This window comes from Homo sapiens, chromosome 5, assembly GCF_000001405.40.
Source record: "Homo sapiens chromosome 5, GRCh38.p14 Primary Assembly".
NCBI classification, from domain to species: Eukaryota; Metazoa; Chordata; class Mammalia; order Primates; family Hominidae; genus Homo; species Homo sapiens.
In genome coordinates this window covers 127,404,598-127,431,199 of record NC_000005.10, presented here as the reverse complement: position 1 = coordinate 127,431,199, position 26,602 = coordinate 127,404,598, and the positions used below count along the sequence as shown (strand labels likewise).

Sequence of the window (26,602 nt, the reverse complement as noted above, 5' to 3'; positions counted from 1 at the left end):
GAGGTTTGTTCAGCTGATTAGCCTAGCCATCAGTCATAATCAACTATATCCTGGTAATGTTTGTATAAGTAACAAGGCCCACCCTATAGCAAGAAGATCCACTGCAGAGATAAGCTTGTTTCATATGGTTTACCCATCATTTCATTTCCAGAGAATCATAGCAAATTCTATAGATCATTGATCAAACCTTCTGTGTCCAATCATATAAGCATCTTTCAACAGACCCAAGCTTACTTGAAAATAACTTTTAGTTTAGAATTGCAAAGAAATGTTTCCTTTGAATATAAATTATAAAAATTCTATTACCAACACCCTCTTAAAAATTCAAGCCCTTTTATTTACTCTGTCATCAGTAAAAAATGAGTCAGCATTTTGCAGATACTAATGCCTAATCTATGTGAAGATAAATATCAAGTATGTCTCAGTTAGGGGGCAATTCCAGGGAAAGGTGTGGAGTTGTCTTTCCTCCTCTTGCTGTACCCTCTTCTCCTATTGCTGCTTCTCCCCTTCTGGCCCTCTGTGCCCTCCTAGTTATTTTTCCCTTCATCTTACAGTCAGAAAAGGACAAGATACATTTATTATTGCTGAGTAGTACCTTCTCTGGAGAATATTGATATTCTAAGAGAGCATGCATTCTAAGAGCCTAAGAAATAAATATCTAATTGTGGAATTTCAGGCAGTAAGTATCACTAAGAGAGTGTTGGGTAAGTGTTTCTCTAAGTCGCACCAGGTATATGACTGCTGATGTGACTTCCATGTAAGGATAACCCTGCAATGAAATATTCTCCAGGATGAAGAGTTGTAAGTTTTGCTTTAACCATTATTTCTGGCTCTGTGTGGGTACATGTGTATTATTTATATTTATCTCCTCTTATTTTTTGCCAGCTTTGCTAGGGTCCTACAAAACATCTTTTTGTTTCTTTGTTTGTCAAAGGCAGAAAAGGAAACCCAACTCAGCAAACATTCAAGGGATCTGGCCAGCTACTGGTTTGCTGTGAGAAGTTTTCTTAAAAATGTAACCCCAGGGTGATAATGACCACAGAACAGGCACACCCTGCTCTGCCTGGGGATCATGATCAGGAAGGGAGGTAGCTTGTGAAGGGGGAAGAGGACTGCAGGCTAAGGGAACAGTGGTGGCAAGGCTCAGAGGCCCAAAGAAGTGTCTGTCCTTTGGGAATTGCAAGTGTTGGGTACAGCTAAAACTCAGGGGCTGGGGAGAGCAGGTGAGACATCTGGGCAGCCAAGCAGTGGCCAAGTTGAGTTGAGCCAAGAGCGCCATGCTATAGAGTGTGAACCTCCCCCTGGTGTTAACAGGGACCAAATGAACAATTTTAAGAAGGAAGGGGCACAACTAAATTTGTGCTTTATAGGAGGGCAGAAGATGGCCAGAAGATGTTGAGCCTGGGAAGAAAGAAAACCTGTCAGGTGCTCTTTTACCTGCAGAACCCCCATTTGGGGTTCCCCAAATAAAAAAAATGATCAAAGTGACAAGGCATGAAACTAAGTCAATGTCAGCAGAGATGCGGGGAAGAGGAATTCTGGAGAGATATAGAAGAAAATGCAGATGAAGACTCCCCTCCAATTCTCCACCAAAGGTAATTAATTCTGGCAGCTCCCTGAGGGAGAGACAATGCCTGTTTTTGCTCACCATAGCACCTAGCACATGGGAGGTGTTAAATAAATTTATTTGTTGAATGAATCGATACACATAATTCCTATTTCCTGTATGATATTCAGGACCACTTTCCAATGGGATGGAGCAACCACAGCATTCTTTGCTTTCCTGAATAAGTCTTCACTCAAACCAGGAAGCCCAACATATTTATAGGTTGTATATCAAAAATGGTGACCCTTCCCTGCTAAGGAGGTGGAGATGTCTGCCTTGCTTATTCTTGAGCAGATACACATTTAGGGGCTCAGGTCTGTGTTTTTACATGTAAGCCCAGATTATTAGGCCATAAAGGAATTATATGACATCTTAAGGAAATTCCTTCAGAAGTTTTAGCAAAAAACAGATAGAAACTTTAATAGTTCAGGAAATAACTTCTAAAATATTGGGAAGAAGGGGCAACGTGGGAAGGGGGTAGGTTTAAATCTGCAGCCATCTCTGGTTCAATGGGAGCATTTCTTTTCTGATAAATGTTCTAATGCTGATAAGGAGATCTGTAAGGGACTGTTTTTGCCACGACTGAGAACAAAGAGCTCTTTGATAGCCTCCACAAGTTGCTAGGCAATGGCTGAATGATCGTGATAAACTTCAGCTAAGCAGCTCTAAAGAAATGTTCGTGCAATTAATGCCTGATGCATTATGCCAGCGGCCTCAATGTGAAATCAGCATTCACTGGGCATTTGTGATTGCATGAATGCAGTAAATAAATCATCTGGGGTGTCATTCTTTCCCCTCTCATAGATATAACCCCAAATCCTTGTCTTACTTAATTGCTTATATTCCTTATGCCAGTATTCCAATATTTGGAGCGTTAGTGAATGAAGGAAATTATTTTGATTCTATGTCTAGTTCCTGGGCAACAAGCTATTAAACATATATTAGAGCAAAGAGAGATATTTGTTAATAATAATTGGGCTTGGTAATTATAAGATGGAGGAACTATAGTATTTAGTCACAACACTTTTTCTGCTTTTCTAATCCTTTGACCAACAAAGCAGTGGCATAGTGTAGTGTAGTGTAGTGTAGCGTAGTGTAGTGTAGTACAGCATAGTGTGGTGTAGTATAGAGAAGTTATTCACTGGTATATCCATCTCTGCTGATAGAGCGACTGTCCTGATGCAATGTGAGCTTCTGCAGGATGGGAGTTGGCTTCACTTCCTCTCTGTGTTCCCAGCACCCAAGCATTATGGTTGCATAGAACCTGGAGACACTCAACAAATGGTTGTTAAACCAAATCTTTCTATTTGGATACTATGGATTTTAAAGACCCAGTAAAAAAGAATCTGCTTTATATAGTTCAACAAAGTTGAAAAAAGTCTTAATAAGTCATATAAATCAGAGGTGTTTGCCTTTGCACTTGCAAGACAAAAAAAAAAAAAAAAAAAAAAATACCAGACACCATGGCCTGCCTCAGTCTGGACCCAGATAAAAGCAAGTAGAAAGGATTGCTAGGCAGATCTTGGAGCTTTGGTTTTTTCTGTGGCCTTTTCTTGTTGGGGGAAATGAGCACCTCCCTTCACCCTCACAGCAGGGGCCCAGCCTTCTGCTTTTATATGATCCCCTCTCCCAAGACCAAACAGACAGACATATACATATGAACCTGCAGACACACTCTCCAGCCCTCAATACCCAAAAGGGTCAGATAGTGAGTCATTTGTACTTGTGGCTGATTGGGTGCAGGCATGTTAATTAAACTCATTTGACTAAAGTTATTACCTCCAACTTGGATTTGCACTTATATGTCACTGGACAAAGGAAGGTAGGTCTCCCCTTATTTTAACAGTTCAGGCATCCCTTAGCTGCATGAGACATCACCTCACGACAGATTAGTCCCTGAAGTAGCAGCTCACTCACTCAGCTGGTCAAACTTGCTGTTTGGTAAAACATGGAAAGGAGAGCTTTCCTTGTGGAGGGAGGCTGCGGCCACTCTAGGCCTAGTTCTGCTTGCTGGGAAGAGCGGAGAAGTGGGCTCTTCACATCAACTTGCCCACAGGTGATCCTCCTTCCGATTACACCCTTCCTGGCTGGGCTCAGATGAGCCCCCAACCTCTCCTCTTATTCTCCTACCCCTCCCCTTACAATTATACCATGCCTTGATAGTCTCTCCTCTCTTTCTCAAGACCCCTAGAGTTTCATTGGGTGTCCTATTCTCCTTTTTATCTGTTTAGTGTTTAACTTTTTTATTCTGGTATAAACACATCCTTGAACCACCTCTTCTCATTTGCCATTGATTATGTGGTTTCTGTCAAAGAAATGCACCCCAGACCCCAAGTTCTTCAATAACTAGAGTAATATGACACAGCAGATGCCACTATGCAGACCGTAACTGCCACTGCCTGCCTGGGTCACCAGGGCAGACAAAGCCACCAAGTAAGGTTTTGCAAGTTGTGCACTATGCAAGAGCCCCTGCCCAAGGGGCTAAGTTGGGGCAGAAATCCGGCTTGCACTTCATGTGCCAAGGAGTACATCCTGAGGGATTTCCAAATCTTTTCCAAATTTGTATCAAAGTTGCTTTCTGGATGGGCAGAGGCTCCATAATCTTCCTCCTCCTCAGCCACTTTCCAAATTCTCATTTAGTAGGTGTGAGGTGGGGACTGGGAATATGCAAGTTCGAAGAGTTCCCAGGTGACAGTGATCTTAGCCAGGGCTGGGAATGAGGCCGGACACTGCACATGTTCCCAGTCAGCTGGAATGAAATCTTGATTAGCTGTAATGCTCAGCAAATGGGTGTTCTGGCTGACTGAAGTCAGAGCAGAAAAGAAGACATAAACTTCAGCCTGTTTCTGTAATTTTGGGAAAATGCTTTTATAAAGTATATCACTCCACTACTCTGGAAACACACATACATAAGTATACACAAACACTCATAATTATATTTCATTGACATCTGAAATTTCAGTATAATCATTTTGAAAAGCGAGCCTCATTTTATAGCAGAGAGAGAGAGAGAGTGTGTGTGTGTACCAGAGGTCCAGAGGTGTAGGAGAAGCAGCATAGGACACAGCCTAAATCCTGAATGGTATTTCATTTTCCTCATTCTTCTACTGCAATCTGCCTCTTTTTGATAAAATAGTGTATTGGCTAAAAATGACAATAAATTAAGGTTTTAAATAACCACATACTACAATAAAATGGTACTTTTTTTGGAAATAGGATCTAAAATGTCAAACACAACTTTTATTTTGTTTACTTTTCATAACAGTATATTTTGAGGACTTATTTTATGACTAGGTAAAATAGGACTATCAATTATAATAGAAATAAAAAAGCCTCAGTTCCTTTGAGAGAACAGTCAAATGCTAGATAGTGGGTTGAAGTTATAAGAAATGGTGGATGTGGGTACACAGTAAGACAGCAAGCCATCTTCCTTGGCATCTCACCTTAGGGTGAGACTTCCTCAATTTAGTCATGTCAATTCCTTTGTAAAGAGGAACAAGGCCCTCCTGACTCTTATCTCTGGCTCCAAATCCAACTGATCAGCCTCTCCCCACAGTGTCCACAGTTGACGGAGCACTTAAGGCCATCTTGTTGATTTGATCAGGGGAAGAGCCCTGGCTTCTGTGTCAGATTTCACTGATTTATTCATAAAAGCCTCACTACACACAAGCCTCCTATCCTACATACTTCTGCCCTGTCCAGGGATACTTAATATTTCACCTACAGCAATCTCAGCAACAGGGATGAGAAGAAATAGAATTGCTTGCTTCTCTGGGCTTATGTTTATCTTTTGACCTCAAACCTGGTGTCTTAAATGGAAAGTAAAACCTTCTTTACGTTCAAAAAGGTCCTAACAGGGTACTAACCCTAAACAATTTTATGGGTAAAAAATTATTAGTCTGTCCAGTGCAGACAATGAAATGATGACCTTTGTAAATAATATACAGAAGCTGCTCTTTCTTTAAAAAAAAAAATAAGCCAATTCTTGGTCCAATTGTAGGTGTTTTTTGGAACTTCAGTAATTTTCTTTTCCTCTACATGTGTTTTTGTATACCAAGTGTATTCTGTAATTGTGAGGGATGACCTCACAGCAGGCTTAGATACTGACAGATGCTTACAGACCAACAGCCCACACAGAAGACCCAGAAATGAGACACTGGGGCAACTTAGCTGGTCTAGGAGCAATAATGACTGACAGACCATGAGGCAGAGATGGTAGGCAACAAGCAATAGAGCAGCATGAAGCAGTAGTCTTCCCGTTTAGAGAAGCAGGCCGGCCACAGATGGACAGAGGATTACAAGATTACATTGTGTGACAAAGCCACTGCATTCCCGTAGGAGCTTGATAGGTCTAAGGTCAGATGGGATAATTTGTCTTACCCCATGACCCAGACTGTGGAATGCAACTAACACATTTTCCGGCTGGCTTCAGGCCAAATCCTATCTCTTGCTCTTCTCATGTATACTAGAGTGTGCCTTTCACAGGATAGTTCTAAATCATCAAAGCAGGTGGACACTTGAGCAGTGACTGGTGTGTTCAGGAACACCTCACATTCTTTCTATCTTTATAAGACAGAAGTAGATTTGGTGGAGTGTTGTATAAAACAAATGATGTGGTCTCTCTGTTAGAAAATTCTGAATTTGCCAGAAGGTTAAAAATGTTATTTTGCTTCACCGTGGTCATTGAGAAATTAGTATCGATCTCTCCATTTGAGAACTTCAAGAACCCTAGTGAAGTCACAAAATCTGGTTCAATCCCTAGTTGATGCAGTTTTAACATTTGGGGATGAAGAGCCAAGCTGAAACATTGGAAGGCAGAATTTCCTATTGTGAAGTCAAGTTATCTCAGGTTTTGCAAGTCAAGATGGAACTACAGGGTTGGGGAGGCCTCGTGTCTGTGGGTAGCTCCTATTGGTAGAAAATAAAGTCCATTGCACCAGCCTTAGCCTGTTTCCCAAGGTAGCTCTCAGACACTAGAAATCAAGCACATGACAGTTCATCTCAGTTTACTCCTTTAGAAACCAAAGAAGCTCTCAACATTTTCCAAGGGGCTGAGAGACACTACTGAAGAGGTTGCTGGTGACATCCCATGTTTATGAATCTGAAGACTTCATATTGTTAAGTGGACAGTATTCCCCAAATTGATCTATAGATTCAATCTCCATTAAATTTCCACCTTGCTTCTTTGTGGAAATTAACATATTGATGTTACCATTCACATGGAAATTCAAGGACCCAGAATAGTCAAAACAATCCTGAAAAAGAAAAACCAATTTAAAAGGATTTCAATTTCTCAGTTTTAATGCTTCCTCCTAAGCTACAATAATCAAAACTGTATGGTGCTGGCATAAGGAGAGATATATAGACAAATGAAATGAAATACGGAGTCCAGAAATAAATCCTCTCACATTTATGGAATGCTGAATTTTAAAAAGGGTATCAAGACAATTCAGTGGGGGAAAGAATAGCCTTTTCACAAATAGTGCTGGGACAACTGGATAGCCACACGCAAAAGAATTAAGTTGGACCCCTACCTCATATTGTATGTAAAAATTACCTCAGAATGGATCAAATATCTAAATACAGAAGCTAAAACTATAAAATTTTTAGGAGAAACATGGACATAAATCTTGTGACCTTGGATCAGGCAATGTTTTTTTACATTTAACACCAAAAGCACAAGCAATGAAATAAAAAAGATAAACTAGACTTCATCAAAATAAAAACTTTTCTGCTGCAAAAGTCATCATCAAGAAAGGAAAAAATAACTCAAAGAATGGAATAAAATATTTGTAAATTATATATCTGATAAGGACATATATCTAAAAAATATAAAGATTATAACGCCATAGTAAAAAGAAAATCCAGTTAAAAAATTAACAAAGAGTCTGAGCAGGGATTTATATAAAGAAGATAATAGAGATGACCAATAAATGCACAGAAAGATGTTCAATATCATCAGCCATCATGGAAATGGAAAGCAAAACCACAATGAGATACCACTGAACACTGACTAGGATGGCTAGAATCAAAAAGTCAGATAATAACTAGTGTTGGTGAGGAAATGAAAAAAATGGAACCCTCGTACATTACTGGTAGGAATGTAAAGTAGTCCTAGAAGAAGAACAATGTTTTTGCTCATGATACTTGGAAGGTGGCACTAAATATCTTAGCAAGTCTGTATACCATGAGCAGAAACTTCTTCTTTCAGTATCACTTTTAGCTTGATAAACTTCCTGGCTGAAACGGTGAAGCTATATAAATAAGGAGAAACTCCCACCCTGTGGTTACAGAATTTGTACTCAGTCATATTATGAATTTGTCATGACCAGAACATTATCGTAAAAAAAGAAAGTTTTAAAACTTTTACTTCCAGCAATGAACATTTTAATATTTGCATATTAACCATACAATAATATGCATATGCATATTCACCATATTAATATCTGTATTTTTTTGCCTCACTAAGGTGACCCTTGTCATATTTTTAGGGTTTATTTCAATCATTCTTTCTTCAGTGCTCAAAATATACCACAGTGGTCTTGCTGAACTCTTCAAAGCAATTCACATTTTCCCCATCTTGCTGGCCTGAATTTTGACAGCTGGACCTTACTTGTAGCTCAAGAGAACTGCCCCTACACAAATCAACAAAAAATCAGTCCTGGATTATAGATTAAAGGTTTCAGTTTACTGGAAACCTTATCGAATTTTCATTTTTTTTGAAAAGTTGACTGGTGTGTGTTTCTGTGAAGTGATAAGGAACAGCACTAGGTGTTAAATTGGCGGGTTTCACCTTTCAATTAGCGGTCCTTGGCTCTCACCTGACCATCCGGGGAGGCAGCGGCAATGGCCCGTGGTAGGGTGGCAGCCATCTGCGTGGCTGCAGTCGCAGCGCTCAGCACAGTTCAGCCCGTACGTGCCATCCTGCATGGAAAACAGCATCAAAGGCAGCAATGAGGGCCTGGGAAATCCCACAACAGAAGAGGAAAAGGCCACTGTCAGCCATTTCACATACAGTACCCTGCTGTCCCAAACGCTTCTTACAGGGATGTATCTTTATTTATTTTTTTCTTTTTTTTTGAGATGGAGTCTCGCTCTGTTGCCCAGACTGGAGTGCAGTGGTGTGATTTCAGCTCAGCGCAACCTCGGCCTCCCGGGTTGAAGGAATTCTCAGCCTCCCGAGTAGCTGGGACTATAGGCACCTGCCACCTTGCCAGGCTAATTTTTGTATTTTTAGTAGAGACAGGGTTTCACCTTGTTGGTCAGGCTGGTCTCGAACTCCTGACCTCAGGTGATCCACTCGCCTCAGCCTCCCAAAGTGTTTGGATTACAGGCGTGAGCCACCGCACCCAGCCAGAGGGATGCATCTTAATCACCTCTTTCTATGTCTTCTTAGTCCCCAAAATATAGGCTCCAGGAAGTCAGTGTTTTAAAGTCACTCAAACCCTAGTTTATGCCTGACACAACGGTTGGGACATATAAATAGTGAAGCCAATCATGCCAACACACTTTAAAAATTTTTTAAATTATAAAATTATAGTTTTAAAACTATAATTTTAGAGCTTTTTTGTGTGGGTCAGGGTCATTTTTTTTTTTTTTTTTTTTGAGACGGAGTCTCACTCTTTCACCCAGGCCGGACGGCAGTGGCGCTATCTCGGCTCACTGCAAGCTCTGCCTCCCGGGTTCACACCATTCTCCTGCCTATTTATATTTTATAAAATATAAAAAAATTTATAATTTAAAAAAATTTTAAATTATAAACTAATCTTAAAAATTATAGTTTTAATTGAATTAAGTTCATTGCCATAAGTTGCCAACGAGATACATGGTACTATAAAGAAAAATGAAGATATTTTGTTACTTTTCTCTGATTATTATCCTGCTTTTCAGGAAGAAGTCTAAGCCACACAAAATATCCTGACTCACAGTCCTAAGTATGAGTTGACACACCTCCTTGCTCCTCCCCTTCCAGATCTTTTATACTTTCATGTGCACGTCAGTTTGGATGGTCTGATGGAGACAAGACTCCTCATAGACATGATTGTTTTGTTTATGGAGAAAGAATGGAAAGTTCAGCTCTTTCACCACAGATCCTGGGAAATGAGGGAGGCACTACAAGCCTTCCCAACACCACCCAAGAACTAAGAGAAACAGGGGTACAGAATTACCACAGAGGAGGAACATGGGAACCAGCATAGACAGGTAGTGGGTGCTAGATGAATAATTATTTGTCTAGAACTTGTTAAAATAAGAAAAAGAAAACAATCATTTTGTAGACCCCACCAATGTTTGATACAGCTACACAGGATTTAGTTTTGTCATGATATGAACCACTAAACCCTCAGCCTTCACTGATTTACTAACTCCTCTAAGGTATGAAAAAGGACGAGATTGTGCCAGGGGCTTTGCTTTGTCTACAATCAGATAGGGAGTAAAAAGTGATCTTCAAGCTCATCTCCAAGTACTGATAATTTGTTCACTAGAGTGATGAGAGGCAGCAAAGCTGACAGCTCTGTCCATGGGATATCCATGAGTGGGATCCTTTCTATTTTGGGAAGTGGGTTGTACTTAATGAGGAGGAAGCCCAGAGAGACAAGAGCATTGTGGAAGGCCCTTCTCGAGGGGCCCAGTTCAGGGGGTCACATTGTTAACTCGCCATCAGATGATGTCCTGGAGGCAGAGAACACACACCACAGAGAGAATGCCTAATGGCTCAGGAGAAAATAATTGCTATAGAAAGAAAGAGTGATGGAAAAGAAATCAGCAGCTTACTCCAGAATGCACTTCCCGTTTGCACTCCCTGACAGCTTGAGGTAGATGCAGTATGAGATTTCTAATGACCTGTATCTCCAAAGTAGGTCAAGGGAATAGAGTGAGCTATAGGGACATCTTAAGAAATTTTTGTGGCTCCAGAGATACTTATGTTAAAAGACATTGTTTCCAAACCTTCTTTCAACACTTCCATGAGCATTTCTATGACATCAGTCACCACCCTCCTTTCAACTCCCTGCCACTTTCTACCATAAAGGCAGGGAGATTTCCATGATAGTGGAAACAAAATATTTGGAGACCAGTACTGTTCACTGGCTGCCACCAAGAGATGGGTGAATAAGAAACAGAAAGTAAAGGGTGGGGGTTGAGGAAACTGAACAAGATGAAGGAAAAGAAGGAAGAAATTCTCGCAGAGCCTATCTAACCAGTTTCCATGTCTATCTCTTTTCCAATCCTACGTCCAATTTGAATCCAAATACCTGGATTCTTCCAGTAGTTACCGAAGTTGGGTTCACAGTGAGCCACTTGAAGTCAGGAAAAATGCAAAAAGAAGCCAACTTTACAACATCAGTTCCTCATAGGCGTTTTCCGTCAGGGCGCTGATTTGTGCATACCTGGCAGGGAAGTTCGCATTTCTCCCCGCGCCATCCAGGTGCACACGTGCAGGTCCCGTCCAGGGTGTTGCAGGCTCCCCCGTTGAGGCACTGGCATGTTAAGTTACAGCCAAAGCCCCATGTGCCACTGGGACATCTGATGGAGCAGTCCACCCCGTGCCAGCCTGTGCGACAAGAACGCCAGAGCACGTGAGCGAACAAAGGCAGCAGAGAGCCTTGTTGAGCCTTTCCAAACCACGTTTCTCTTTAGAAACGCCTTGGAGATGCAAGCCCCAGCCACAGCAGCAGAGAACACTGGTTCTGCCAAGTTAGGCCTCCATCAGAAATGAACAGAAGGCACCCCTGACGACCCAAACAGCCATGTGTGTTGTGTGATCTGTCGAGGATGCCAGCACTGCATACTAGTGGGCTACTGAAAAAGAGATATAGAGTCAAAGCACCTTTAATGGGCAGTGATGCACACTGTGGAATGCTGAGTTTTGTTCAGATCAGGAAAGTGAAATATTTATATGGAAGGGAGACAAAGGATTCTGCTTGAAAACACAACACCATCTTTAAAGCAGGACCCCATTAACCAGCAACTGTGTATATCCAGGATCCTGGCTGCACCTATGGATGGACACGTTCTAGTGCTCATATAAAATTGGTGCTTGGCTGCGTTTCTTGTCATGATTCCAAGCCAGTCAATTTAGGGGCATGAACACATGTCTGCTTGTTTACTCTTCCCAAAAGTGCACAGACACAGAGACTTTTGGAGCTGGCAGTGACTTCAGAGATCATCTAATGTGAGCCTCTTCCCTTCACTCAGGAAAGCGTTCCAGCCCATACTGGATGAGGGGCTTGCGGAGGTCAGACACTGAATTTTGGTGCAACTGGAGCTAGAACCCTGGTTAAGGTTTTTCTTTTTTGTGTCTTTAGGAGATAACGTGACCAGGATCAAATTAAAGACTTATTTACCCATTCTTACCTGCCTTGCAAGTACAAGACCCGTCCACAGGAGAGCAGACTGCATCATTTTTACAGCCACAGCGAGAGGAACAGTTTATCCCATAGGTTCCCAGAGGGCATGGGGTAGAGCAGTCAATTCCCTAGACAGGCACAAGTAGCAAAATGCATTCAATTTTGCCAACTGAAATAAGGCCAACACAAATAAACAAAAATATATCTTGGCAATGCTAATTATACTTCCTCTCTAATTTTAACACACTGTATTTTTAAAATTTTGTCATAATGTCACCACTATACAAATTTTAGAAATTTAAGGGCAACACTAGCTGGTCTATGTTTAGGATATATTATTAAATGGGATCCAAAAAAGCTTGCACCTACATTAGCTTTGCCTTCATAGCAGAACTAAAACAAAACAACAATAAAAACCCTTTTTCATTGCTCAGACAAGTAGATATATAAAAATAAATTGTATCTGTAAAATTACTCTCAATAAATAAACATCAATATAAACTATACATTAGATCTCAACCCTTCCTAGATATCCTTGTATGATATGTAATATTTTTAGTAGGTAAAGCAAAGCAACAACAGAACACATTCAGCAACATGATTCACTTTATCCGACAGGGAGCATTAAAGGCAGAATTAAGCTACCAAAGGCAACTGGAGGTCATCTCCTTTCAAAACAGAAGGGACTCTTAAGACAAAGCTAATTCAAGGGCTGAACCAAAGGGTTATGACATAGGTTAGAAAACCCTTTAAAGATCCTCTCAGCTCTGTGACCTTATGATCCACCAGTTCTACATTATGTGCTCTGGAATAATCATCAACATTCTTCATAGTTCAATGTGCTCTTTAAAATGGGAAGGAATAATTCAAGAACAACACATTCTCCTTTAAAGCAAAGATTCCTAGCCTATCACTATGAAATCTTAGAAACTGTAAGCAAAATTCTGCTCTATTATGCATGGAATATAGACATATTTATAGGGTCTGGATTTTCAAAGGGACCTAAAAACTTATGTACTACCAACTACAGAATGTAAATACATTACAAATGCTAACTCGATGTGTCTTCAAATTTTGTGGAATTAAAAACAAAAGCTGTCAACAATAATAATCTACTTGGAAAAGTAACTTCTTTGTCACCTATAAAACACAATAAAATAAATTACTTAAGGAATAATTATAATATGCTTTCTGACATGTGTTTATATTAAAAATTAATGCCACATTTATAGTTTTACCAGTTTTCGCAGTCATTATTCTAAGGTAATTCCTTATATCTCTATTAGCATTTTTCCCCTCATTTTCTCTCTCTCTTTAATGATGTGGATGACTTTAGCACATTCACTGTATTTCACTGGAGGTCATATAAATCATGGTATTGAGATGCTTCACACTGCACCCCTCTTCTCCTTCCTCCAGAGCCCTAGTCACTCACTTTGAATCCTGGGGCACAGGTGCACTTTCCAGTCACACTGTCACAGTCTGCCCCATTTTGGCAGCTGCAGATCTGCTGGCAAGCTTCCCCGTAGAATCCAGGAGAACATGTCTCATTACAGTAGAGTCCTGACCAGCCCGGCTTGCAGGCACACTCTCCAGACATGGGGTGACAGCTGAGAGACATGGATGAAAGGAATAAGTCACTTTGGGGTAAACATGACACCCAACTTCTGTGCAAATGTTGCTTTAGCAATGATCACTAAATGTGTGGGTAATTCCATGCAGAATAATTCAAACTTCATTCCCAGGCTTGGTATGATTTAATTAATTGGCTGAAACCTGATGGGTACTACAGGAATGTTGTATGAAATCAGCATCATCAGCATCATCTCTAGCAGGATGTATTACAACCACATCCTTTTGTCTGAAATTCTTTTTAATTCTCTTAAATTGAATGCACTAATTTTGTAAGAGGTCAACTCTATGAGAGGAGCTAAAAAAACTCCATCCAATGGACAATACCAAACCAGTTAACTAGTATGATGTCCCAGGAACACCAAAAGCAGTGACCTTGTCAGCCTGTTTCTCCTCTCAGTTCCCTATACCTGGTAGCTGGCAGCTGTCTCCACCTGAAACAGCAGCCGCATTGACCCACCAGGCAACCAGCTGTTGCTCCATAGCAAATGGACATATCAGCTGCGCTGAGATGCACGCGTAAGTGAGTTGACACAATAGGGCCCTCTGTGGCATGCTGGCTCAAAACACATGTGCTTCTCACCACTAGAAAATCTTAACAATCAAACTAGTTCTCCTGACAAGAGGAAGACTGTTTAAAGATGGTCTTCCTTGCCTGATGGAGCTAAAACCCTCCCTTAACTAGGGCCAAAAACAAACACCTGTGTCATATCCATACATTTGCTAAGTGACCTCCCATCAGAGGACTGTTCATAGATTTTCTACTCTTGGAAAGAATGACAACCTGGGAGGGATGAAGACTGAGGATGTAATCCCAGTTCTCCCACTACCTAAGTAGCCTCAGTGAAATACAGCTTCCTTGGGCCTGATGTCCTAGTCTGCCAAGTGAGGGTCTCAGCCACGCCCCATAATCTTATATCCTATATTCCTCCTCCTCCTTGTTCAGAAAATTCCTGTGGGTTGAACAGTTTGGTGCTCATTTTTGGAATTTTATTTAAATATACTTTTAGAACCCTGCTGCACCTTAGTGTTCACAGGCAAGGGCCTAGAAATTCATCAAACACTCAGAAAACATGGCATGAAGAATACCTAAGTACAGCTCTACATATAAGGTGGTTTCTTGAGTGTAGGTTTAGATTCACAGGACCAGAGCGTGAGTCTCAGATCTACTTAGAACTACTCAAGTCTGCTTATCTTCTATTATCCTTGGGCCAATTTCTTATCCTTGAGCAGTCACATGGCATCTCCACGGCATCTCAAACTTAACATGTCAAAAACTGAGCCCTTGGGCCAGGCATGGTGGCTCAAACTTGTAATCCCAGCACTTTGGGAGGCTGAGGCGGGCGGATCACGAGGTCAGGAGATCTAGACCATCCTGGCTAACACGGTGAAACCTCGTCTCTACTAAAAAACACAAAAAATTAGCGGGGCGTGGTGGTGGGCATCTGTAGTCCCAGCTACTCAGGAGGCTGAGGCAGGAGAATGGTGTGAACCTGGGAGGTGGAGCTTGCAGTGAGCCAAGATCACGCCACTGCACTCCAGCCTGGGGACAGAGCGAGACTCCGTCTCAAAAACAAAACCAAAAACAAAAACAAAAACAAAAACTGAGCCCTTGTTCTTTCCCTCAGTATCTACCCCTAATTGTCCAAATTTCCATAAATAGCACCATCAGTCACTTAGTTTATCTAGAAGTTATTCTTTTTTTTTTTTTTTTTTTTTGAGATGGAGTCTTTCTCTGTCGCCCAGGCTGGAGTGCAGTGGCACGATCTCAGCTCACTACAATCTCCACCATTCAAGTGATTCTTCTGCCTCAGCCTCCCGAGTAGCTGGGATTACAGGCGTGTGCCCCATGCCCAGCTAATTTTTGTATTTTTAGTAGAGATGGAATTTCACCATTTTGGCCAGGCTGATCTTGAACTCCTGACCTCAAGTGATCTGCCCGTCTCAGCCTCCCAAAGTGCTGGGATTATAAGCGTGAGCCACCATGCCTGGCCTAGGAGTTATTCTTGATAACTTCTTCTGCCTCATCACTAGAATTTAACCATTCTAACTCCAAAATATATTTTGAATCCACCCACATCCCTTTATCTTTACTGTCCTCATTCTGCTCCAGCCAATGCCATCTATCTCCTCACCTCCTGAACAGCCTTCCAACTGTGCTGCCCATCTCCACTCATGCCTTATCACCTAAAGAGTAAATCATATCATTCTCCTTCTTAAAACTCTGCAAAGGCTCCCCACTACCCTTAGAAAAAAATCCAGACTGTTTAATATAGCTACAGTGACTATACAATTTATTGTCTAAACCAGGGCATTTTTAAGAGTGAAGAGAGAGCTGCTAATAATTATACTAGGACAACAGGCCTAAACCAGACTATCCTTGTGAAACCTGATATACAATCACCCTAAATACAGCCCGTGGGGCCTCATCATCTGGCCACTGCCTACTCCTCAACCTCTTCTTTCATCATTATTCTCTCTTTATTGCTATGCTTGACCACATTGGATTTCTCCTAGTTTGTAAAAGCATCATTTTTTTTTTTCAATTTAGGGGCGTCCACATGGGCTATTCCATGTTCTTAGGATGCAGTTTCCTTACTCTCTGCCTATCTCTCTCCAGTTTGTCTTTCCAGTCTCAGCTTAAACATCCCTTCCTCAAAGAAACCTTCCCTGTCCACCCAAATTGAAGGTAGGTCTCTCCACTTACACTCTTCCTTACCACCCTGATCCTTCTTCCCATCTCACTTTTCACAATCTATAATTCTGTTTATTTTTCCAGTCCTTTAATGTCTTCTTTCTCTTCTACACTGTGAGTTCCAGGAGGGCCAGAATTAAATCTGTTTTGCCACCTTTCACGGGCACATGGTAGGCCCACAGTAAATGCAGATTGAATGAATAAGTGAAAATGCCACAGGTGATACACAGCGGATGTGACTCCAGGGATCTAGCTTTCCCACATTAATCTGCTTCTCCCTGACATCTCAGAGTCACTGAACAATGTTAAATTATCCTCAGTATATATGTATACAAAGGGGAAGATTTCCTCTAAAATTCGTTTTTAAAATGTCAAAGTCTTGGCTTAAAGGAAATAGCCATTAATCACAGAGAACAACTCATGAATGTCACCATGTTTGTGATGATATTGTAAGTGAACGCACAGACCAGGAGTCAGCATTTACTGGGCACTGAGTAAGTCTCAGCAATGTGCTGAGCACCATTTAGTTCAATCCTCACAGCCATCCTAGATGGTATGATCCCATTTTATAAATGAGAAAATAGAGGCCTAGAAAGGGTAAATTATTTATTCAAAGTCTCACACAGGTAGTGAGGCAGAATCAAACTTGAACCCAGGTTTGCTTTTATACCAAAGAAAAGGGAGGTTTGCTAACAGCCTGCTGAGGGGACCAGACATGAAGGACAATTGCTAAGATTTAGAATTTGGCACATATAAAGGGGTCAACAGGATCAGTAAAAACAAATATTGTACAAAAAACGGGAAATTTTTAAGTTTACTTCAGTAAGTCCTTACATTTGATAAAGGGAAAAGAAATATTTCAAGTGATAGATTGGTTTAAGTAGCCTACCTTATCTTAACATATTGTAAAACAAATGATATTTTTGGTAGAAAATATTACTTTACATTGAAAAGTAGAAAACAGTATTCATGGTGTAGACATAATGTTAAAGAAAATAGACAATTTGGATGACAATGAATTCAACAAAGCAAGAGGCAGGCTGAGAAATTGATATTCAATGCCCCCCAGTGAGTGTTAGTGCAGCACACTGGTTTTCAGACTGATTGACACCAAAATTAGTATTCTGCAATTTATAATTAGATGTAGGAAGCTAGAGCACTTTGGAGGCATTTGATGGGTTCTCATGCAGGCAGCTTAATTGGTAATGAGATTTACATGTTGTTGTAGAAGCAGCAGTTTGGAGGTTGAAGGGTGATATACTCATTACCTGTTTTCTGTCTAAAGAACAGATTGCTTTGTGTATATGAAAATAGGATTATACACATATGGGAATAGTTGTCATTTTATAAACACATATAACTATATACATATATTCCAGGAAACTGTTTAATAGTTGAATTACAACAAAAGTCCAATACTATATAATATTGGCTGAAACAGAGTCATTGAACTTCTTTTTATTCATTTCCTTAGATGTTATTAATGATCAAATATAATGACAATTACATGACATTTGCAAATAGGCACATCCGGATTGTCCATGGCTATTAAATGTCTTTATTACCAAAAGCAGTTAATCTATCTCTCTATATTGCATGTGGAATATTATTAAATCTCAAATTTTATTTTCTTGTTCAAAATCATTTCCACCATAACAGTTAGTTTTCAGTTGAAAAGTCCAGGTCACAGTGAATATCTTTAGGCTCAATAATACTGCTAAAGTTTGAAATACTAATATTACTTATAAATATATTTAAATTCATTTCAGCTCCATGATAGATTGCAAAATAAAAATGTCTACAAATTCTTTGCAACACCTCCCATCGAGAGGTGGGGTATGTTGAATCTGGACTTGGTTAGATGACTTGTCTTATCTAAAGGGGTATTAGCGAACATGACATAACCAAAGGCTTAAAAAGTGTATGTTGGGGGTCTGTACTGTCTTCTGTTTTAGAAACCAGTCACCATGTGAAAAAGCCCAGGCTAGCCTGCTAGATACTGGAGATGTGTGGCTCAGTCAGCCCCATCACCCAGCCAAATGCCAGACATGTGAGTGAGGATATCCAGGACCAATTAGCCTCCAGTTGATCTGCCAGCTGAACACAAGGAGACCAGCAGAAGAACCACCAAGTTGAGCCTAGCCCACATAGTCAAGCAAAAAATCATCAGTTAGTAAATAATTGTTATTTTACGTCATTGGGTTTGGAGTAGTTTTTTTGTTTGTTTGTTTGTTTGTTTTTTAATGCTGCAAAAGCTACCTGATACAAACCCTTACCCAACTATATGGCTAAAATATATGTCAATGTGTATATCCATAGAACTCAATATGTACCTAAAGACAATGTACATTATTAATTTACACTGTATTTGTTATCTCATTAATTATAATGGAAGGCTTTAGTATATCATAAATTATGTAACAGCAAGGCTCCACTTGCTTGATAAATGCTAATGTGAACAAACTAGACTTTCAATTAATACAAGGATTCTATGCCTTTTGGTTTGAAGGGACCTTGGGCTTCCAGGAGTTTTACACATAGAAGTTTAAGATATAAGAACTAGATAGATGGCTCCAATGATTAATTCAACAAGATAGAGTCATATAATCAACATTAAACTTGTTTTAATAGAAATTCGTAAAAGCTAATCTTTAAAAATACCTTTCATGATTTACAAAATCATGAAAAGACTGATTTTTTAAAATATTCGGATTATTTGGTATACAATATTAGACAGATTTTAGTGTTATTGATCTATGTAATTGTCAAAAAATGTCATGTACTTCTTTGTTAACACATATATGCTTAGGTACATATGACCTATGTCAAAATTACCACAGTATTGCCATCAATTAACTAATTCTCCACTTTGCACCTTGCCACTACTAATATGGTATCCAATTCCAACAAAACCAACATGCTCTCTGCTTCTCCAATTCTTCTCATAGCAGAGCTCTTCCTTTGCATAGATTTATTATTCCATTTGATTTCAGTTGTCTCTATGTACAACGGAACAGCACACTGGTGTAATGTTCTTAGTTGTCACTACATGAGGCTTACTTTTTGCTGCAATAAGACTTATACTGTAGGAAAGGGACCCAAATTCATGACTTGTCCCTAATCCTGCCAGCTCCTTAAATATTAGAGAGTTGAAAAATAAAACCCTGTGGAGATTATTCATTTTTATTCCCCCAAATATTTACGTAAACTTGTCAAGTAAAGAAAGGCAATATTTTCCAACGAAGAAAACCAAAGTTGACTAATATGGCTTACAAAGTTACTTGAATCATATTGAGAATACACTTCTTTCATATGTCCCACTAAAATGTATTACAGCACACATATGCGCGCACACACACACACACACACAGAGTGCAAACTCTATATTTTTGTTACTAACAATGGTTTAAAGAAGAGACCAACCACACGCTTTTGTTTACTTTTAAATTCTATGCATTTGGGATTTGATGTGGCTATGAGTTATCTTTCAGAAGTATAAATGAAGTAACAGCTGTGCTGAATGCAAATAAAGTAATTCTAGTAAGATCTGAACTGCTATATAACGCACTACATTTTTGTCAAACTCAGCTTTTCCAGCAGTCTGCAAAGGAGGCCCAGAATTCTAAGTTATGTGTATCTGGTCCCTGGGGGAGGGAAAGAAGAAACAGGGGTAAGAAGACATTTTCAGGGCAGACAAGGTACAGTAGGGTGGGTAGGATCGTGGTTTCCTGTTCTCAAATTCTTGGAGAGGTTTTTGAGCTAAAAGTCCCTTGTGAGTTCTATGTCAGAGTAATCAATTCGAAAAAGATATTTCACATGTGACAGCCACATGTGAAACACTTTCACAAAACTTCCACCAGTTCACTTCCTCTCTCTAGCCTTTTTTTTTCTTCCACAGATGTGCTGTCGAATAAAAGATGCTGCAGTAAGAATCACTTTTTGATATTTTTGCATACTAAATTTGGCTAAACTCCTTGTCTCTCATTGCATCTTTGCTTCTAAGGGAATGTCACAGAATCCCTTGCTTAAGGGAAAGTTCTACTAACCTCAGCAAATTTTGTTTTTATCAGTGGTCATTAATAGAGAATAGAATTTGCTATCCACCAGTAACCATTGAACAATTTTAGCACCTCAAATGTAGACCATCACACATTAAGTTAAAATGTCTTCCTTTTACTCGGCGATTCCTGCCCAGAGTAGCCTAGAGGCAGGAGGGGGCTTGGGGTGAGAATCACTCTATCAATCCCTCCTTCCAAATCCTGAAAACCAAGGTTAAAACTTTCACAGGACACGTCCTTCCAGGGGAAGCTGACACTCACCTATGAGTGTTTTCCAGGTGGCAGGGACACCGTTTGTCACATTTGATGCCGTAGAGCCCCTCAGGACACAGGCGTGCTTCGCAGCGCTCGCCAGCAAAGCCTGCTTCACAGAGGCATGCGCCGCTCACGTGGTAACACTTCCCTCCGTTGACACACTGGCAGGTCTCAGCACAGAGAACGCCATAGGTCCCAACAGGACACTCATCCTGGCACCTACCAAGCAAGAGGCAGGAGCAAGAAGAAAGATTAGTTAGTGCCATGTGAAAATAAACAGTTAATTTGGAATGGCTTTGTTATGCATAAATCGAAGCTGCTTTTTGCTCTTGCAATTATTTAGTGATTGTCCCATTACACGGATGAAAAGCGTTAAGATACATTACTCTGGCTACATATTGTAGTAACAGCAGCATGACCTGTAGAAAACAAAAACAAAACAAATAACAACAGCAACAAAATGAAACCAAAACAAAAATAGGAGCTTAGGACATGAGGCATGTTTACACTTAGTGCTTGCCAAAGTTACATAGCACTTTAGTAGATACTAAGAAAATGGGAAAAAAATTTTCAAATGTTAGTCCATAATTATGAAATTTCAAAACATACTTTCCCAATTCCAAAGAGAAAACTCTGTGTCAAATTTGAAACTAAATTTTAATTCTCTTGGCTTTTATGTGGACATTAATTTTTAATCTTAGCCACGTTTTTACTCTTACTTAAAGCTGAATGGTAATCATTCCTCCTCAGTTAGAAAGTTCTTTAACTAATAAGCCAAGTCCTCTTTAGATCTGGGAAACTCTGAGCTACCAAAATCAGACGTCCTCGATTCCAACATGGGAAGTGCCTGCCAGTAGGAAGGCTTGGAGTTTTCTAACACGAAATGTTTGGCTAGTGGGGTATTGCCCTCTGTTGGGAAGAAGGGCTGCCAAATGGCAAGGAGTAAAGATCAGCCCTCAAAAATTCACTTCATTATCTTTTTAAAAGTGGCATTGGAGCTCTGTCCAAGAGAAAGGATATGCTCTAGGTAAGACGAATGAGGTGGGAGCTGAGTTGCTAGAGGGAATCGAGATAGAAAAGAGAAAATGATCGCTCATTGCTCCATGGAAAGCACAAATAGTTCTTAGACTAGCCAAGTTTCTTTTTGACTAGGCCAGGTGACTGGCTCTCTGCAGCAGAAGGGGAGCTTTCTGCCAAGGGAAGGAGACAGGGCTTTGCCCAGCCGAGCACTTGCCGCAAGAAGGGTACACTTTGTCTCGGCAGCCACTTCCCATGTGGCTCTCAAGTCAGGCCAGAACCAGAGTCAGAAATGTAGGTCAGCCTTGCATTTTTTAGATCTGTATCATGTGAGCAGTAAGGCATAATAACAAATTCAAGCACACTTAAAAGAAGCAGAAAAGAAACATACTTCAAAGAAATAGTGTTTCCACAAAACTTTGCATATTTTTAATGATAGGGTGCAACAAGTAACAATACCAGGGTGGGAGGAATTCTATTTTAGTGTAGAGGACAAATCTTGATACTTTTTTTTGAGACAGGGTCTGCCTCTATCACCCAGACTGGAGTGCAGTGGTGCCATCATAGCTCACTGTAACCTCGAACTCCTGGGCTCAATTGACCCTCCCACCTCTGCCGCCTGAGTAGCTAGGACCACAGGCACTCGCCACCATGTCAGGCTAATTTTTAAATTTTTTGTAAAGATGAGGTCTTGCTATGTTACCCAGGCTGGTTTCAAACTCCTAGACTCAAGTGATGCTCCCGCCTCAGCCTCCCAAAATGTTGGGATTATAGGAATGAGCCACTTGGACCAGCCCTTTCGATGCTTTTCTGGTTACCTCTGGCTCTAGCATATATTTAATGTGATGGAGACAAGGAAAAGAATCTCATGTAAATTTAGTTTCACAGATTCTAGACATCTTCAGGTGTATTTGTTAACAGGTAAAACCTTCAACTGCTCAACAAACCATTAGAAAAGTTATGGAGTAATTGACCTAATACTCAGCATAAAATAAAACGTGTGCCTAAAAGTTATACATGGGTACACCTATTTTTGGACCAGAGTGTATTTTTAAAAGGTGCTCTTTATTTTTAACCTCTAAGAAGCTTCAATAAGCTAAGTCATTTAGTTTCTTCCTTAAAGATGTAAACTTTAAGGAAATAAATGCTTAAGTACAATAATGTGGTCTCATTATGGCTCCTACTGAAGGCTGTCAGGACAACTTTTCAACCTGTCTGTTAGATTTTCTTGCAAGTCAGTTCCAAAAGGAAAAAGGTAAAGATAAATAATATCATTTTCTGTCTCCTAAAAGGATTTGAAAACAAACCCAAATGTTAAGTTTTAAACTATCTTCATTATTTCAACTTGGTAAAAAGCACAGCTTTAAAAGTGGTTGAAAGTAGTATAGATCGGAAGCCTGGGAAATTATCTGTTACCAAATTACAGGGAACCAGTGTGTATATTTTATCATATCTTGGCAGAGACTTCCTTTCTCAGGAAAAATAAAATCTATAATAGCTGGCCTTGACCCACATTTACCTTTCTAACCTACAATTAAACACACTACTAGTTTGCATTATAAATATAAAACAAAAAGTCCTATTTGAATGTTACTTACTAAAGCAGCCATTATTTAAGCTGGATTCATATTCCCATTTTATGTTTTGTCAATGTTGCACTTGTAGGACAATCCTGTTAATAATAGTTATGTCTACTTCTATCTGCCAAAGGAAAATGGTAGGATATCTTTCTAGAAGTATATATTCTCCATCTTGAAAATAAACATAATCATGAAATAGCTGATGCCTGTCTGATTGGCTGCATTAAAAGTCTTTATCAAGCAGTTTTATCTCCTTCTTGGTCTCTTTATCTTCAAGAAGCACCATTTCCCAACAAATTTTATGCCCTTAATGCTGCTTCTGCGGTTCCAAATGGAACAGAAGCTCTCAAAAATCAGTGAAATAGGAAATGCATTTTCTTAGGACAGATAGCAGAAAAGTAATAAAGATATAGCAATAAATATCAGCCACAGTAGACATATGGAAATTTGGGGTTTCCAATTTTTTTACATTTCAAGTAATGTCCTGGAATTGGTAAGAATGGATAAGCATTAAGTAGAGATAAAGTATTAACACATCAATTCCCAAAACCAGTGAGGGTCATAGACTGGTTTTAATATTGTTTCTATTATTATGTTGTATGTCATTGTGAACTTAAGGAAAAAAGTAAGTGAGTTAACGTGTAAGGGGTGACAGGTACCGCTTTCACCCCTGACCTTCTGTGCATGTCCTTCCCTAGAGTGATTTGAATAGTTAGGCCAAACCATGATTTAGTGTGAAAGAATCACATTCTTCATTAAACCTGGAATCTACGAATCAGCTGCCTACCTTTCTAACATCCGGAACTGCTGCTCTGGGGGAAATGTAAAAAGCACTGGGAAAGAGCCAACATCTCCACGCTCCTAGACACAGGAAAGAGCTCCTCCATTGACGACCAATGCTGCATTCCCCCAATTCCTGTCTATAATTTTTGACTTCACCTCCTTTCACCCACATTTATCTTCACCTTTAGGGTACTATGGAACACAGACTTGGCAGAGCTGTTTTGGACTTCACCTTAACAGAGTTCATCACTGAGTCATGCATCCCTTCATCCAGCTAATACTCACTGAGCACCAATCATGTGCATGGGCCCCTAATAGGCTGTCGCAGGGCCCAGAGTGATCCTACGGCAGCACTATCGGCATTCGAAACTCTTTTAACCCCTTCAGAAGGTGTTTTTTAAGGATCTGGAAACCATTGTCTCTTCACTCTTACTTGACTGTGTCATGTTACATTTACTCACCACAATATCCTCTCAACCTTTCCACAAACCCCAAAGCCTTTTATTTGGGCAATCTATGCACTACTCTGCCAGCCTACAGGGTGTCTGTTTGGATTTTTCTTATTTCTCTCTGGCGGGGAGGACTGTCCCCACATCCTGGGAATTCTGTGCAGGCTCCTAGGGCCAGCAGCCCTCTGCCCTAACCTCACTGATCAAATTTCACTGACTTCTCAAAACAAGGGAAATGGCAAATTAAGACCCCAGCCTATCAAGGCCTTTCTCCCCACACCTCCCGCCACAGACTGACTCATGGCCATTCGTTGTTGTCCTTTCATAGTGACAAATGTGTTTGTTGTGTACATGTGTTAACTATAGAGCCCAGACAGGGATAACAGCTGAAAACAGGAATCATGTCACTGGCTCATCAGAAAAACAATAGTTACAAGAGCAGCAGGTCGAGAAGCAAGTTCTCTCTTTACTTCCCTTCTCTTTCTCTGGCCCCTGGCCTTCCTTGGCTCAAATGTAAAATTCATCTGAAAATTAACTGTTATTCCCTTTCCCTGTACTCCAGATGAAATAGGTATAAGCTCATTTGCCTTGTATGTTTATTGTTCTTGTGCTACCTCTAATTTGAAATTTAAATCCCTAGAGGGCAAAAAAAAATTATATTGCCATTTTAGTGGCCTAAAATATGACAAGAAACTATTATTAAGATAGTGCTTGGTCTTGTGTCTCCCTTACCCCAACTCATTTTTCTATAATAAGATGTTAAATGGATCCAGAAATTATCTAACAGCCTAATCTATCCAAAATACAACCTAAAACCAGGATGTCAGTTACAAAATCTGAGTAGTCCAATTACATGTTATAAAAACTGTGTACTAAGGATGTCAATAATTCATTGCATGAAAAATTAAAGGAAAAATATGTAATTATATTAGCAAAAGAAAAAAAGGCATTTAATGAAATTAAGCAGCTACTATTAACAAAATTTTTAATTAAAAAAAGGGATTTAAAAAACTACTTAAGAATGAAGAAAATAATTTACTAAATACCAATAGCAAACATGAGACTATACTGAAGCCATTCCAATAAATTTGGAAACAAGACAGGGATTTTTACTTTTACTGCTGTTTGTCAACATTAATTTGGAGGCTCAAATTTATGCAATAATTCAAGGAAATGAAATAATCATTATACATATTGAAAAGAAAAGACTAACTTATGTTTATTTGTAGATGATATGATAGTATAACTAAATAACTCCAGAGTTTGCTAAAAACAACATTAAAATTACCTTGAAAGTTTGGTAGTATGAATAAATTAAAAAGTAAATAGTCAAAAGCAAGTTTTTCTTCAACCAGAAATATCCAATTACAGGCAGAAATGAAATTTTAAAAAATTACAAAATACTCAGAAATAAATTTAATAAGAAAGTACAGGGTCTAAGTTGGAGGCAGGAGGCAACAAACATGACAGTATCTTATTAAAAGTCATAAAATTAGACCAAGATTTAGAAAGAGAAAAAATAAGGGGAAAAAAGTTGAGGGAATTCTTAATTCAAAGACATCATAAAAAATAATGATAGCTAATATTTATGCAGCTTGTAAACAGCACTCAAACTGATAATCACTAGTATTTACATAGTTCATAGAAATTGCTCTAGAATAATAAAATCTGATAAGTTCCAGGGCTGTTTTAAATGTTTTAACACACTAACTTATTTAATCCTTACAACCCTAGAGAGAAGCACAATTATTATTAGGATGTTACAGACAAAGGTGTTTCCAACGCCTGTAATCTTAGCACTTTGGGAGGCTGAGGCAGGCAGATTGCCTGAGCTCAGGAGTTCGATACCAACCTGGGCAACACAGTGAAACCCCATCTCTACTAAAATACAAAAAATTAGCCTGATATGGCAGCATGCGCCTGTAATCCCAACTACTAGGGAGGCTGAGGCAGAAGAATTGCTTGAACCTGGGAGATGGAAGTTGTGGTGAGCCGAGATCATGCCACTGCACTCCAGCCTGGGGGACAAAACAAGACTCCATCTCAAAAAAAAAAAAGTGTTTCCAGGGACACATTTACCTAAACCTAGATTCCAAATAATTGTTTTCAATCACTATGACCTTCTGCCTCTCAAGTCTCTTCTCAAATCCTACACACACATCCAGTGAGCCTGGCTACCTA

At 39.7% G+C, this 26,602-nt stretch overlaps 1 protein-coding gene across 7 annotated transcripts in view, besides 2 other annotated features; it reads right to left on the bottom strand.

Annotated features, from left to right (window-relative positions):
• Positions 1-26,602, bottom strand: part of MEGF10 (multiple EGF like domains 10) — a 231,923-nt gene that overhangs the window by 30,023 nt on the left and 175,298 nt on the right. For 4 of the 7 annotated variants that reach the window (XM_017009987.2, XM_011543694.1, NM_032446.3 and 1 more), the window contains 5 exons: positions 20,599-20,811; positions 13,388-13,562; positions 11,960-12,080; positions 10,993-11,156; positions 8,428-8,530 (listed from right to left, as the gene is read on the bottom strand). In XM_017009987.2, coding sequence (XP_016865476.1) covers positions 8,428-8,530; positions 10,993-11,156; positions 11,960-12,080; positions 13,388-13,562; positions 20,599-20,811 — 776 coding nt within the window. Of the gene's footprint in view, positions 1-6,418; positions 6,862-8,427; positions 8,531-10,992; positions 11,157-11,959; positions 12,081-13,387; positions 13,563-20,598; positions 20,812-21,311; positions 25,490-26,602 lie in introns of those variants that run through there. The other 3 variants (NM_001308119.2, NM_001308121.2, XM_017009988.2) reach the window with 2 other exon arrangements.
• Positions 7,737-7,786: an enhancer, noted in NCBI's record as "active region_23033". NCBI's record gives its function as "activates an Ori minimal core promoter by ATAC-STARR-seq in GM12878 lymphoblastoid cells {active_cell/tissue: GM12878}" and the evidence as "EXISTENCE:reporter gene assay evidence [ECO:0000049][PMID:35858748]".
• Positions 11,098-11,599: an enhancer, noted in NCBI's record as "H3K4me1 hESC enhancer chr5:126755293-126755794 (GRCh37/hg19 assembly coordinates)". NCBI's record gives its function as "activates a minimal SCP1, AML or CMV promoter by ChIP-STARR-seq in primed H9 embryonic stem cells {active_cell/tissue: H9 hESC(primed)}" and the evidence as "EXISTENCE:reporter gene assay evidence [ECO:0000049][PMID:30033119]".